Raw genomic sequence first — 14,153 nt, 5'->3', positions numbered from 1 at the left:
CTAGACAGAGCTGATTTCTCAAGACACAGGGATTGCAATGAGGAGTAATTCACGCAGAGCTGGCTGCATGGGAGACTAGAGTTTTATTTTTATTTTTATTTTTTTGAGATGAAGTCTCACTCTGTCGCCTAGGCTGGAGTGCAGTGGTGCGATCTCGGCTCACTGCAAGCTCCGTCTCCCAGGTTCACACCATTCTCCTGCCTCAGCCTCCCGAGTAGCTGGGACTACAGGCTCCCGCCACCACACCCAGCGGCTAATTTTTTGTATTTTTAGTAGAGACGGGGTTTCATCATGTTGGCCAGGCTGGTCTCAAACTCCTGACCTCGGGTGATCTGCCTGCCTCGGCCTCCCAAAGTGCTGGGATTACAGGCGTGAGCCAACATGCCCGGCCGTTGAGGGATATTTTTAAGGGCAAGGTCTTGAAGTCCACTGGCCTTAACTCACTGACACTGAGCCCTGATATAACTACAGGGAGACTGGAGAGTGTGGGCTTCTTGCGTCCCCAGGGACAGACAGTACCCACCACCCCAGGTGTATCCGGGTAGGTGGGCGTCTTTTTAAGTTGAACATATCCGGATACGTCTATTTTTTTTCCCTTTTGCTGCATAACAAATGACTGCAAATTTAGTGTTTACAACAACACACTGATCAGTTCCCAGCTTCCCTGGGTCAGGAGGCTGAGTGTGAGCTGCTAGGTCCTCCTGGGTCTCACCGGGCTGAAGTCAAGGGGCTGGCTCGAGTGTCCCTCCCATCTGAGGCTCAGGGTCCTCTTCCAGGCTCATTGGCATCAGCAGAGCCATTGCCTGTGGCCGTAGGGCTGAGTTTCCATGTCCTCGACAGCTGTAGGCTGCCTACCGCCCTCAGCTCCTGGAGGACAACCTCGAGTCCCTGCCCTGTGGCCTCCACAGCAGGTCCCTGTAAGGCCGGTGGTCTCTTCAAGCCCAGCAAAGAATTCTTACTGCAGCCCGCAGTGTAACCATGGGAGCCATGCACCGTCACGGTCACAGCCCCCACCTGCACTCAGGGCGGGCACCACACAGGGCGTTTAATTCAGGGCTGGGGCGCCTTGGGGGCCCTCTCAGAATTCCACCTACCATGCTTACCTTCACAAATATCAGCTGCACCTCGAGGGCCAACAAGAGGTCTACAGAAAAGCCATGAGCCAAACAAAACTCCTTGGAACTTCTCTGCTCCTGACAAAGTCCTTAAGCGGATTCGATAAAAACCCCATTGGCCACTAAAGACTCTTTGTGCTTTTGATATCTTTCTGTGGAGTCATCCATTCATTCAATGGAATGCTTGCCATGTGCCGATGCTGTTATAGATACTGAGATGACAGCAGGGAACACGGCTGGTCAAGTCTCTTGGGCAAATTCTCCATTCACACCCCACTCAACGCGCAAACTTCCCATTCGCCTATGCTGACACACGGTGCACGGGACTGTGTGTGAACAATCGAATGAACTAGACCTGCGTGTTCTCTTACAATATCCAGGAATCCTTCCAGTTAAATGACATTTTATCTTAATAATTCAGGTGATAGGAATATTACATGTTTAAACTCCTTTTGTTTGTGTTATTGCAATACGTGATCCCAGCCACACCCATTGAACTGGGCATCTTCACGGTGCGGATGATCTTCAAAGGAACAGGTCCTGTTTGGGAACTGAAATCCAAAGACACAATCATATTTTAAATAACACATTGGTGAAAAGACATATACCATGGGAAAAACATCTCAAGCTTAATCGCCTATATTTAATTTACAACAGAAATAGGACTGCTCTCACATAGTTTCTAAAGCTTATCAAGTCCCTCAGAGAAGTATTAAATTACAGAGAGACAATTAAGCCTCCCTGCCTTTGAAGTTCCATTTAGGTATTAACAGGGAATTAGAAATCTTATGAAGAGAGATTTGCAATCACTATGAGTGCTGCAATCTACAGCTACCAAGCTGTAGACCAATATCACACAGGGTTCAATTCTATGGAGTACTTCACTGAGAGTAAGTGCTACCTTTGACATTATTTTGCATCTTATTGAAATTCCAGATATAATATCAATCTACTGAGGCTCTTATACAAGAAGAGAAATTGAAGTTTGCAAGCATAATCTTTTCAGTGGAGCCCTGTAATGGATCTGTGGATCCGTTTTAAGCCAGAGCTTATTCTGTGCATAAACCATAAGATAATTGACCCATTAAATGTAACCATGTAAATATCCCCATTTCATTCCCACTACAAAGTAAAAAATGCTTATGTTGCTTCTGCCTCCCATGTTAATATTTATCAGCTTTCAGATTGGTGTGTCTTCTTTCTGGTTTCTTTCTTTGCTTGTTTAAATTCCGATTTTCATTCATTTATCTACTTAGGCGTATATAAGTTCTGAGTATATTTTATTTTGTGTTAGACTATGAATTTATAGAGGAAATTAATCATGTTTTACTAATGTTTATATCTAGTAGAATAACATATAAAGTGCCCCGCACATAGACCATTAATAAATACTTGCGAGTAAGTGAATACATTCATGGATGAGTACGTCAGTCTTGTAACATAAGTATCAAATATTCCTTAGCAGGAAAAGCCAACAGCACTCTCTCAACCATAAATTAACCCAGTCAAAGGAAGTAAATGTAATGTTTGGTCAGCAATGTGACTTGATACTTAAGGAGAGCATCTCTTAGGAGAAACAGCGGGTCCTGTGTCTAGATTCAGCTCTAATGGCAACAGATTGATGGCCCCCATCCATGCATATTTATCAATTTTTAAGGTTTTTTTCTTTTTGTAGACAGCAAATTGTTTTCTTAGATCTATAGTCTTGCATTTATATTCCTGGTTCTTGGGTGGAACTGTATTTGTGGTCATATAATGGATCCCATTAAGAGGAGGTTTCAGATTCCATTACCTTTCTTTAGCTCCGTTGAATTACCTATCTATCATTTTTTATTATTTATTGTATATTGTTTATGTTTGAATGTTAAATACTAATCTGCAAGAAGGAGAATTGAAAAGAAATTTCTCATTAAATTGAAAGCAGGCATTTAATTTCATCGTGCCCTAGTTTTATAAATATAGTTGCAAGATCCTTGTGAAGAACACAAGAAAATAAACAAATGTCACTATTCAATTGAACTCAAAGAAAATACAACATTTTATTCACAGAAGTGTCTTTACATATATAATTATCCAAAGGTCTACCTGAAGCTCTTTTTACCTTCACCCAAGCTCTTTCGCCCTAAACTCAACCTGCATCTGAATCATCTGGATATTAGCACAGAGGACCCTGGGCCCCACCCTGAGTGGCAGATTCTGTAAGTCTGCAGTGCGACCCTGGAGTCTGCTGCTCTACCACGTTCCTGGGAGATGGTGATGCTGCTGGTCCAGGGACCACACTTTGAAAACCACTGCCTGAAATTCATTTGAACTTCACAACTTGGCTCAATTTTCACATCTTCAAAAAAGACTAGTTTTATTCCCAGGTGTATTAGTCTATTTTCACACTGCTGATAAAGGCATACCTGAGACTGGGCAATTTACAAAAGAAAGAGGTTTAATGGACTCAGATTTTCACGTGGCTGGTGAGGCAATCATGACAGAAGGCAAAAGGCAAATCTCACATGGTGGCAGACAAGCAAAGAGAATGAGAGCCAAGCTAAAGGGGTTCCCCTTATAAAACCATCAAATCTCATGAGACTTATTAACTACCATCAGAACATATGAGGGAAACTGCCCTCATGATTCAATTATCTCCCATGGGGTCCCTCCCACAACATGAGGGAATTATGGGAGCTACAATTCAAGATGAGATTTGGGTGGGGACACAGCCAAATCATATGACCAGGGAAAGTCAGGATTACCTGAAGGATTCTCTCAAGGTCATTTTTTTTCCTCATAGTGCCATAATTTGCCAATACACATTTGAGGCAATGTCTTATGAACATCTATTTCTACTGCAATAAACTCTAAGATCAGCAGCTGGTCTGGAACTAGTTGGCTCAGAGTTGCAGCCTGATGCTTCACACACACACAATAATTGCTGTACATTTTAATTTTGACAAGTGTCTTAGTTCTTTTTTATTATTATTATACTTTAAGTTTTAGGGTACATGTGCACAACATGCAGGTTTGTTACATATGTATACATGTGCCATGTTGGTGTGCTGCACCCATTAACTCGTCATTTACATTAGGTATATCTCCTAATGCTATCCCTCCCCTCTCCCCCCACCCCATAACAGGCCCTGGGGTGTGATGTTCCCCTTCCTGTGTCCAAGTGTTCTCATTGTTCAATTCCCGCCTATGAGTGAGAACATGCGGTGTTTGGTTTTTTGTCCTTGTGATAGTTTGCTGAGAATGATGGTTTCCAGCTTCATCCATGTCCCTACAAAAGACATGAACTCATCATTTTTTATGGCTGCATAGTATTCCATGGTGTATATGTGCCACATTTTCTTAATCCAATCTATCATTGTTGGACATTTGGGTTGGTTCCAAGTCTTTGCTATTGTGAATAGTGCTGCAATAAACATACGTGTGCATGTGTCTTTAGAGCAGCATGATTTATAATCCTTTGGGTGTATACCCAGTAATGGGATTGCTGGGTCAAATGGTATTTCTAGTTCTAGATCCCTGAGGAATTGCCACACTGACTTCCACAATGGTTGAACTAGTTTACAGTCCCACCAACAGTGTAAAAGTGTTCCTATTTCTCCACATCCTCTCCAGCACCTGTTTTTTCCCGACTTTTTAATGTTCGCCATTCTAACTGGTGTGAGATGGTATCTAATTGTGGTTTTGATTTGCATTTCTCTGATGGCCAGTGATGATGAGCATTTTTCCATGTGTCTTTTGGCTGCATAAATGTCTTCTTTTGAGAAGTGTCTGTTCATATCCTTTGCCCACTTTTTGATGGGGTTGTTTGTTTTTTTCTTGTAAATTTGTTTGAGTTCTTTGTAGATTCTGGGTGTCTTAGTTCCATTCAGTTGTTTTTTTAAGTAAATAATCCTGCAATAAACATGTTTTCTTTGGATTTTAATTTTATTTTATGGTATTGAATCCCATTCTTTTTAAGTGAAATATTTTATTAAATGAAACATGATTCCTTCTAATCCCAATCCCAAACATTGGTAACAATGTGATTGATATATTACACTTTTATTTTACTGTGCATATTTTCAAACATATTTAGAAGTATCACCTCACATTTTAAAATCTGTTTCATCGGTGTCTTTTTCATTTAAAAGAGCTTGAATGTCTTTCCATATCAATGCCTACATATCTATTGTAGGCTGCATGACAAATAGATACCATGTGATCAGACGGCGTTCTTGTAAAGTATTTCTCAGTCACTTTAATAAAGATCGTATGTCTTTAATAAAGACAGTTGTGCTGTGATAAGTTAAACATTTTTCCATATGCTTGTTAGTTATTTACAATATTTTTTCTTTGAATTGCGCCCTTTCATTTTCAAGGTTTTTGTATTATTATACCACTATTTTATCATAAAAGTAGTTAACAATAATACATAGTTTTAAATAGAAGGAGGATATTGAATGTTCCCAATACAAAAAAACGATCAATGTTTGAGATGATAGATATTCTAATTACTCTGATCTGATTGCTTTATATGATATGTGTCACAACATCAGTACATACCCCATAAATATGTACAAGTATTATCTGCCATTTTTTAAAAGATAGTTTAAGAGGTCCATTATCCAGCTTCAATAGCTCATTTTGTTAACCTTGTTCCATTCATAACCTCATACACGTGACTCTGATGTGTATCAAAGCAGATCCCAGACATAGTACCCCTTTATAAAAACTACAGAATGTTTCTTAAATGGATTATAATATTTTAAATCATAACCATAATACATTTAAAAATTTTTAAGAAACATTTTAGAAAACATATTTACAGGAAAAAAATGTACAGATAGTACAGAGAGCTCTTGCTATCCCACATCCAATTTCCCCTTTTATTAAGTCTTGTTGATTTGAACACATTTTTGTTAAATCAAGTCCATTCTTTATTCAGGTTTCTTAGTTTTTGCCCAGTATCCTTTCTGTATTCCAGAATCCCACCCGGGACACGTTATGTTTAACATTCCTGTTCCATGGGGCTCCCTAGGTGTGGGAGTTTCACAGACATTCCTCGTTTTTGATGACCTTGACATCTTTGAGAACTGGTCAGAATGTCTGTCAATCTGGACTTGTCTGATGTAGTTCTCATGATTAGGTTGGGTTTCTGGGCTTCTCAGGAGGAAGATCACAGAGCATTCACCCCTGCAGGTCATAGCAAAGCTCCACACCATCAGCAGGACTGGTCACTGGTAATGTCAACCACCATCACCTCCATTTTTTCTCAAGTTTCAAAACAGTGAAGTACTCTTTTTTCCCTGTCCCACGCTGTACTCTTTATTATTATTATTATTATTATACTTCAAGTTCTAGGGTACATGTGCACAACGTGCAGGTTTGTTACATAGGTATACATGTGCCATGTTGGTTTGCTGCACCCATCAACTCGTCATTTACATTAGGTATTTCTCCTAATGCTATCCCTCCCCCAGCCCTCCAACCCCCAACAGGTCCCAGAGTGTGCTGTTCCTCGCCCTGTGTCCATGTGTTCTCATTGTTCAACTCCCACCTATGAGTAAGAACATGTGGTATTTGGTTTTCTGTCCTTGTGATAGTTTGCTGAGAATGATGGTTTCCAGCTTCATCCATGTCCCTGAAAAGAACATGAACTCATCTTTTTTTATGGCTGCATAGTATTCCATGGTGTATATGTGCCACATTTTCTTAATCCAGTCTATCAGTGATGGACATTTGGGTTGGTTCCAAGTCTTTGTTATTGTGAATAGTGCCTCAATAAACATGCACGTGCATGTGTCTTTATAGTAGCATGATTTATAATCCTTTGGGTATATACCCAGTAATGGGATTGCTGGGTCAAATGGTATTTCTAGTTCTAGATCCTTGAAGAATCACCACTCTGTCTTCCAAAATGGTTGAACTAATTTACACTCCCACCAACAGTGTAAAAGAGTTCCTATTTCTCCACATCCTCTCCAGCATCTGTTGTTTCCTGACTTTTTAATGATCACCATTCTAACTGGTGTGAGATGGTATCTCATGTGGTTTTGATTTGCATTTCACTGATGACCAGTGATGATGAGCATTTTTTCATGTGTCTGTTGGCTGCATAAATGTCTTCTTTTGAGAACTGTCTGTTCATATCCTTTGCCCACTTTTTGATGGGTTTTTTTCTTGTAAATTTGTTTAAGTTCTTTGTAGAATCTGGGTATTAGCCCTTTCTCAGATGGGTAGATTGCAAAAGTTTTCTCCCATTCTGTAGGTTGCCTGTTTACTCTGATGATAGCTTCTTTTGCTGTTCAGAAGCTCTTTAGTTTAATTAGATTCCATTTGTCAATTTTGGCTTTTGTTTCCATTGCTTTTGGTGTTTTAGTCACGAAGTCTTTGCACAAGTCTACGTCCTAAATGGTATTGTCTAGGTTTACTTCTACGGTTTTTAGGGTTTTAGGTCTTATATTTAAGTCTTTAATCCATCTTGAGTTAATTTTTGTATACAGTGTAAGGAAGGGATCCAGTTTCAGCTTTCTACATATGGCTAGCCAGTTTTCCCAGAACCATTTATTAAATAGGGAATCTTTTCCCCATTGCTTGTTTTTCTCAGGTTTGTCAAAAATCAGATGATTGTAGATGTGTGATGTTATTCCTGAGGCCTCTATTCTGTTCCATTGGTCTATATATCTGTTTTAGTACACGTGCCATGCTGATTTCATTACTGTAGCCTTGCAGTATAGTTTGAAGTCAGGTAGCGTGATGCCTCCAGCTTTGTTCTTTTTGCTTAGGATTGTCTCGGCAATATGGGCTCTTTTTTGGTTCCATATGAACTTTAAAGTAGTTTTTTCCAATTCTGTGAAGAAAGTCATTGGTAGCTTGATGGGGATACCACTGAATGTATGAATTACCTTTTCACAATATTGATTCTTCCTATCCATGAGCATGGAATGTTCTTCCATTTGTTTGTGTCCTCTTTTATTTCATTGAGCAGTGGTTTGTAGTTCTCCTTGAAGAGGTCCTTCACATCCCTTGTAAGTTGGATTCCTAGGTATTTTATTCTCTCTGCAGCAATTGTGAATGGGAATTCACTCATGATTTGGCTCTCTGTTTGTCTGTTTTTGGTGTATAGAAACGCTTGTGATTTTTGCACATCGATTTTGTATCCTGAGATTCCGCTGAAGTTGAGTATCAGATTAAGGAGATTTTGGGCTGAGAGGATGGGGCTTTCTAAATATACAATCATGTCATCCACAAACAGGGACAATTTGACTTCCTCTTTTCCTAACTGAATACGCTTTATCTCTTTCTCTTGCCTGATTGCCCTGGCCAGAACTTCCAACACTATGTTGAATAGGAGTGGTGAGAGAGGGCATCTTTGTCTTGTGCTGGTTTTCAAAAGGAATGCTTCCAGTTTTTGCCCATTCAGTATGATATTGGCTGTGGGTTTGTCATAAATAGCTCTTATTATTTTGAGATACATTCCATCAATACCTAGTTTACTGAGAGTTTTTAGCATGAAGGCTGTTGAATTTTGTTGAAGGCCTTTTCTGCATCTATTGAGATAATCATGTGGTTTTTGTCTTTGGTTTTGTTTATGTGATAGACTATGTTTATTGATTTGTGTCTGTCAAACCAGCCTTGCATCCCAGGGATGAAGCCCACTTGATCGTGGTAGATAAGCTTTTTGATGTGCTGCTGGATTCAGTTTGCCAGTATTTTATTGAGGATTTTCACATTGATGTTCATCAGGAATATTGGTCTAAAATTTTTTTTTTGTTGTGTCTCTGCCAGGCTTTGGTATCAGGATGATGCTGGCTTCATAAAATGAGTTAGGGAGGATTCCCTCTTTTTCTATTGATTGGAATAGTTTCAAAAGGAATGGTACCAGCTCCTCTTTGTACCTCTGGTAGAATTCTGCTGTGAATCCATCTGGTCCTGGACTTTTTAGTTGGTAAGCTGTTAATTATTGCCTCAATTTCAAAACCTGTTATTGGTCTATTCAGAGATTCAACTTCTTCCTGGTTTAGTCTCGGGAGGGTGTATGTGTCCAGGAATTTATCCATTTCTTCTAGATTTTCTAGATTATTTGCATAAAGATGTTTATAGTATTCTCTGATGGTAGTTTGTATTTCTGTGGGATCAGTGGTGATATCTCCTTTATCTTTTTTTATTGCATCTAGTTGATTCTTCTCTCTTTTCTTCTTTATTAGTCTTGCTAGCAGTCTATCTATTTTGTTGATCTCTTCAAAAAACCAGCTCCTGGATTCCCTGATTTTTTGAAGGGTTTTTTGTGTCTCTATCTCCTTCAGTTCTGCTCTGATCTTAGTTATTTCTTGCCTTCTGCTAGCTTTTGAATGTGTTTGCTCTTGCTTCTCTAGTTCTTTTAATTGTGATGTTAGGGTGTCAATTTTAGATCTTTCCTGTTTTCTCTTGTGGGCATTTAGTGCTATAAATTTCCCTCTATACACTGCTTTAAATGTGTCCCAGAGATATTGTGTCTTTGTTCTCATTGGTTTCAAAGAACATCTTTATTTCTGCCTTCATTTCGTTATTTACCCAGCAGTCATTCAGGAGCAGGTTGTTCAGTTTCCATGCAGTTGTGCAGTTTTGAGTGAGTTTCTTAATCCTGAGTTCTAATTTGATTGCACTGTGGTCTGAGAGACAGTTTTTTGTGATTTCCGTTCTTTTCCATTTGCTGAGGAGTGTTCTACTACCAATTACGTGGTCAGTTTTAGAATAACTGCAATGTGGTGTTGAGAAGAATGTATATTCTGTTGATTTGGTGTGGAGAGTTCTGTAGATGTCTATTAGATCTGCTTGGTGCAGAGCTGAGTTCAAGTGCTGGATATCCTTGTTAACATTCTGTCTCGTTGATCTGTCTAATATTGACAGTGGGGTGTTATGGCCTCCCATTATTATTGTTTGGGAGTCTAAGTATCTTTGTAGGTTTCTAAGGACTTGCTTTACGAATCTCAGTGCTCCTGTATTGGGTGCATATATATTTAGGATAGTTAGCTCTTCTTGTTGAATTGATCCCTTTACCATTATGTAATGGCCTTCTTTGTCTCTTTTGATCTTTGTTGGTTCAAAGTCTGTTTTATCAGAGACTAGTATTGCAACCCCTCCTTTTTTGTTTTTTTTTTTGCTTTCCATTGGTGGAGCTTCCTACATCCCTTTATTTTGAGCCTATGTGTGTCTCTGCACATGAGATGGGTCTCCTGAATACAGCACACTGATGGGTCTTGACTCTTTATTCAATTTGCCAGTCTGTGTGTTTTAATTGGGGCATTTAGTCCATTTACATTTAAGGTTAATATTGTTATGTGTGAATTTGATCCTGTCATTATGATATTAGCTGGTTATTTTGCCTGTTAATTGATGCAGTTTCTTCATAGCATTGATGGTCTTTATAATTTGGCATGTTTTTGCAGTGGCAGGTACCGGTTCTTCCTTTCCATGTTTAGTGCTTCCTTCAAGAGCTCTTGTAAGGCAGGTCTGGTGGTTACAAAATCTCTCAGCATTTGCTTGTCTGTAAAAGATTTTATTTCTCCTTCACTTATGAAGGCTTAGTTTGGCTGGAGATGAAATTCTGGGTTGAAAATTCTTTTCTTTAAGAATGTTGAATATTGGCCCCCACTCTCTTCTGGCTTGTAGGGTTTCTGCCGAGAGATGCACTGTTAGTCTGATGGGCTTGCCTTTGTGGGTAATCTGACCTTTCTCTCTGGCTGCCCTTAACATTTTTCCGTTTATTTCAACCTTGGTGAATCTGACAATTATGTGTCTTGGGGTTGCTCTTCTAGAGGAGTATCTTTGTGGTGTTCTCTGTATTTCCTGAATTTGAATGTTGGCCCGCCTTTCTAGGTTGGGAAGTTCTCCTGGATAATATCCTGAAGAGTGTTTTCTAACTTGGTTCCATTCTCACTGTCACTTTCAGGTACACCAATCAAACGGAGATTTGGTCTTTTTACAGAATTGCATATTTCATGGAAGCTTTGTTCGTTTCTTTTCACTCATTTTTCTCTAATTTTGTCTTCTCGCTTTATTTCATTAATTTGATCTTCAGTCACTGATATTCTTTCTTCCACTTGATCGAATTGGCTATTGAAGCTTGTGCATGCATCACGAAGTTCTCATGCTGCGGTTTTTAGCTCCATCAGGTCATTTAAGGTCTTCTCTACACTGTTTATTCTAGTTAGCCATTCGTCTAACCTTTTTTCAAGGTTTTTAGCTTCCTTGCCATGGGTTCAAACATCCTTCTTTTAGCTCCGAGAAGTTTGTTATTACCAACCTTCTGAAGCCTACTTCTGTCAACTCGTCAAGCTCATTCACCCTCCAGTTTTGTTCTGTTGCTGGTGAGAAGCTGCAGTCCTTTGGAGGAGAAAAGGCACTCTGGTTTTTGGAATTTTCAGCCTTTCTGCTCTGGTTTCTACCCATCTTTGTGGTTTATTCTACCTTTGGTCTTTGATGTTGGTGACCTACAGATGGGGTTTTGGTGTGGATGTCCTTTTTGTTGATGTTGATGCTATTCTTTTCTGTTTGTTAGTTTTCCTTCTAACAGTCAGGCCCCTCAGCAGCAGGTCCGTTGGAGTTTGCTGGAGGTCCACTCCAGACCCTCAGTCTTCCCCAGCAGAGGCTGCAGAACAGCAAATATTGCAGAACAGCAAATATTGCTGCCTGCTCCTACCTCTCGAAGCTTCGTCCCAGAGGCGCACCTGCCTGTATGAGGTGTCTGTCGGCCCCTTCTGGGAGGTGTCCCCTAGACAGGCTACATGGGGGTCAGAGGCCTGCTTGAGGAGGCAGTCTGTCTGTTCTCAGAGCTCAAATGCCATGCTGGGAGAAACACTACTCTCTTCAGAGCTGTCAGACAGGGACGTTTAAGTCTGCAGATGTTGTCTGCTGCCTTTTGTTCAGGTATGCCCTGCCCACAGAGGTAGATTCTTGAGAGGCAGTAGGCACTGCTGAGCTGCGGTGGGCTCTGCCCAGTTCAAGCTTCCCAGCCGCTTTGTTTAATACTCAAGCCTCAGCAATGGCAGATGCTCCTCCCCCTGTCAGGCTGCAGCCTAGCAGGTTGATCTCAGACTGCTGCGCTAACAGTGAGCAAGACTGTGGGCATGGGACACACTGAGCCAGGCACAGGAGGGAATCTCCTGGTCTGTCAGTTGCTAATACCATGGGAAAAGCACAGTATTTGGGCAAGAGTATACTGTTCCTCCAGGTACAGTCTCTCACGGCTTCCCTTGGCTAGAAAAGGGAAATCCCCTGAACCCTTGCACTTCCTAGGTGATGTGACACCCCACTCTGCTTCGTCTTGCTCTCTGTGGGCTGCACCTACAGTCCAACCAGTCAGTCCCAGTGAGATGAACCAGGTACCTCAGTTGGAAATGCAGAAATCACCTGTCTTCTGTGTTGATCTCCCTGGGAGCTGCAGACAAGAGCTGTTCCTATTTGGCCATCTTGGAAGCAACCATCCTTTTTTTTTTTTTTTTTTTTTTTTTTTTTGAGATGTAGTCTCATTCTGTTACCAGGCTGGAGTGCAGTGGTGTGATCTCGTCTCACTGCCCATGCTGTACTCTTAAGAAGGAAGTTCCTCTTCACAGCCCACGCTGAAGGGTGGGGAGTGATGACCCTCCTCCTGAGAATGGAATATTTGTATAAATTATTTTGAATTCTTCTACACAGGACAGTTGGCTATTCTGCTTTGTTTAGTTACTTGTTGATATCATTTTCATATCAGTATGGACCCATGGACATTTATTGTATACTTTGGGTTATAATCTAGGACCACATGGTTTGTTCTCTTGCTTTCATTGTTCCCTACTTGGCTATTCCGAGCCCTTCAGTTGACTCCTGTGTCTCTTGACATATGCTGTGTGAGTGTGCGTGTCTGAGTTTGCATGTGTGCATGTGTTGAGCACTTCCTTGCTTTCTGGCAACAATATGCACCAAGATTACCTTGGATATTTCCTGCCCTAGTCCTAGCATCAGCCATTTATCCAAGGCGCCCTGGCACCTTTTATGGGAGAATGGCCTTAGAAACCAAGATCTGCACACTAGGTTCATACGGCTGCTGGATGGCCACTGCCCCTAGGCCTCATCGTCTTCTCAGCTGACATGGCAGAGAATGCATGTCTGCACACTAATTCAATTGCATGCATATATCTGTAAACTCAGATGATTCTGCAGGCCTGCTAAAAGCAGAAATGTGTCTAGCACTTGGGTGTCAGAATACAGGGAGCCCTGGTACCTGTGGTCAACTACAACACACTCATCTTTTAAGTGTAGTGTTAATTGCTTAGCTTTTTATTTTTATCTTCTCTGGAATATAATATTGAATTGTTCATTCATCTTCCTACTTATTTTGTATTCATTTTACCACATTTACTCCCTAAGCCATTTAAAGTATGTTTTCTAAAGAAAGAGCAGTGTCACCCACACCAGAAATAGAAACCTGAAAACGTGAGCATTAGTAGCAGTGACAACAGTGTCCATGTGGTTAAAGCACAGAGAGTAAGCACGTGCTTCTCATTATTAACCCTTCAGCTTGTCTGTTCCTTTTTGCATGTTTTTAAAGATCTAATTTTATGGTTTGGGAGTCTTTAACAACTCACAGATGCTAGAAATACCTGTAAGCTAAACTTGGTTTTCTTGAGAGTTTCTCTGTGGCCTGAGAAGTCAAAGTTTTTAAAAAATATTTACTTGTCATGAAATATTCACCTAAAGTAGTAAAGTAAGACATACACTAGACCTCTCATTTCTTAATGTCAGAAATCAAGCCTTATTAGACCTTCTATCTTGGTTATTCAACATAATACACCAGATACAGCCAACAGTCATACCTCTTCATGGAACAAATTGGATAAATGATGAAGTACGGACAAATTAGCCCTGTGTCATTTTCACAAGTAATTGGAGCTCAGTAGGTACCCGTTACACTGATGACTGAATAAACATGTGCTATAAAATAGTTACATTAATATGCAAAATATCCTGTAAGGCTTACAGAAGGGATTAATATATTTAGCTGTATAAGAAATATGTTAAATTGTTCTTATATGAAAATTT

At 40.3% G+C, this 14,153-nt stretch overlaps 1 long non-coding RNA gene across 1 annotated transcript in view, besides 1 other annotated feature; it reads right to left on the bottom strand.

Annotated features, from left to right (window-relative positions):
- Positions 873–1,374: an enhancer, noted in NCBI's record as "H3K4me1 hESC enhancer chr18:75300889-75301390 (GRCh37/hg19 assembly coordinates)". NCBI's record gives its function as "activates a minimal SCP1, AML or CMV promoter by ChIP-STARR-seq in naive H9 embryonic stem cells {active_cell/tissue: H9 hESC(naive)}" and the evidence as "EXISTENCE:reporter gene assay evidence [ECO:0000049][PMID:30033119]".
- The window catches only part of LOC107985172 (uncharacterized), a 76,818-nt gene continuing 63,898 nt past the window's right edge, over positions 1,234–14,153 (bottom strand). The window contains exon 3 of the long non-coding RNA XR_001753512.2: positions 1,234–1,666. This is a non-coding gene — a long non-coding RNA (uncharacterized LOC107985172). The remainder of the gene's footprint in view (positions 1,667–14,153) is intronic.

Source organism: Homo sapiens, chromosome 18 (assembly GCF_000001405.40).
Source record: "Homo sapiens chromosome 18, GRCh38.p14 Primary Assembly".
Classification (NCBI taxonomy): Eukaryota; Metazoa; Chordata; class Mammalia; order Primates; family Hominidae; genus Homo; species Homo sapiens.
This window is presented reverse-complemented; position numbering and strand designations above follow the sequence as displayed.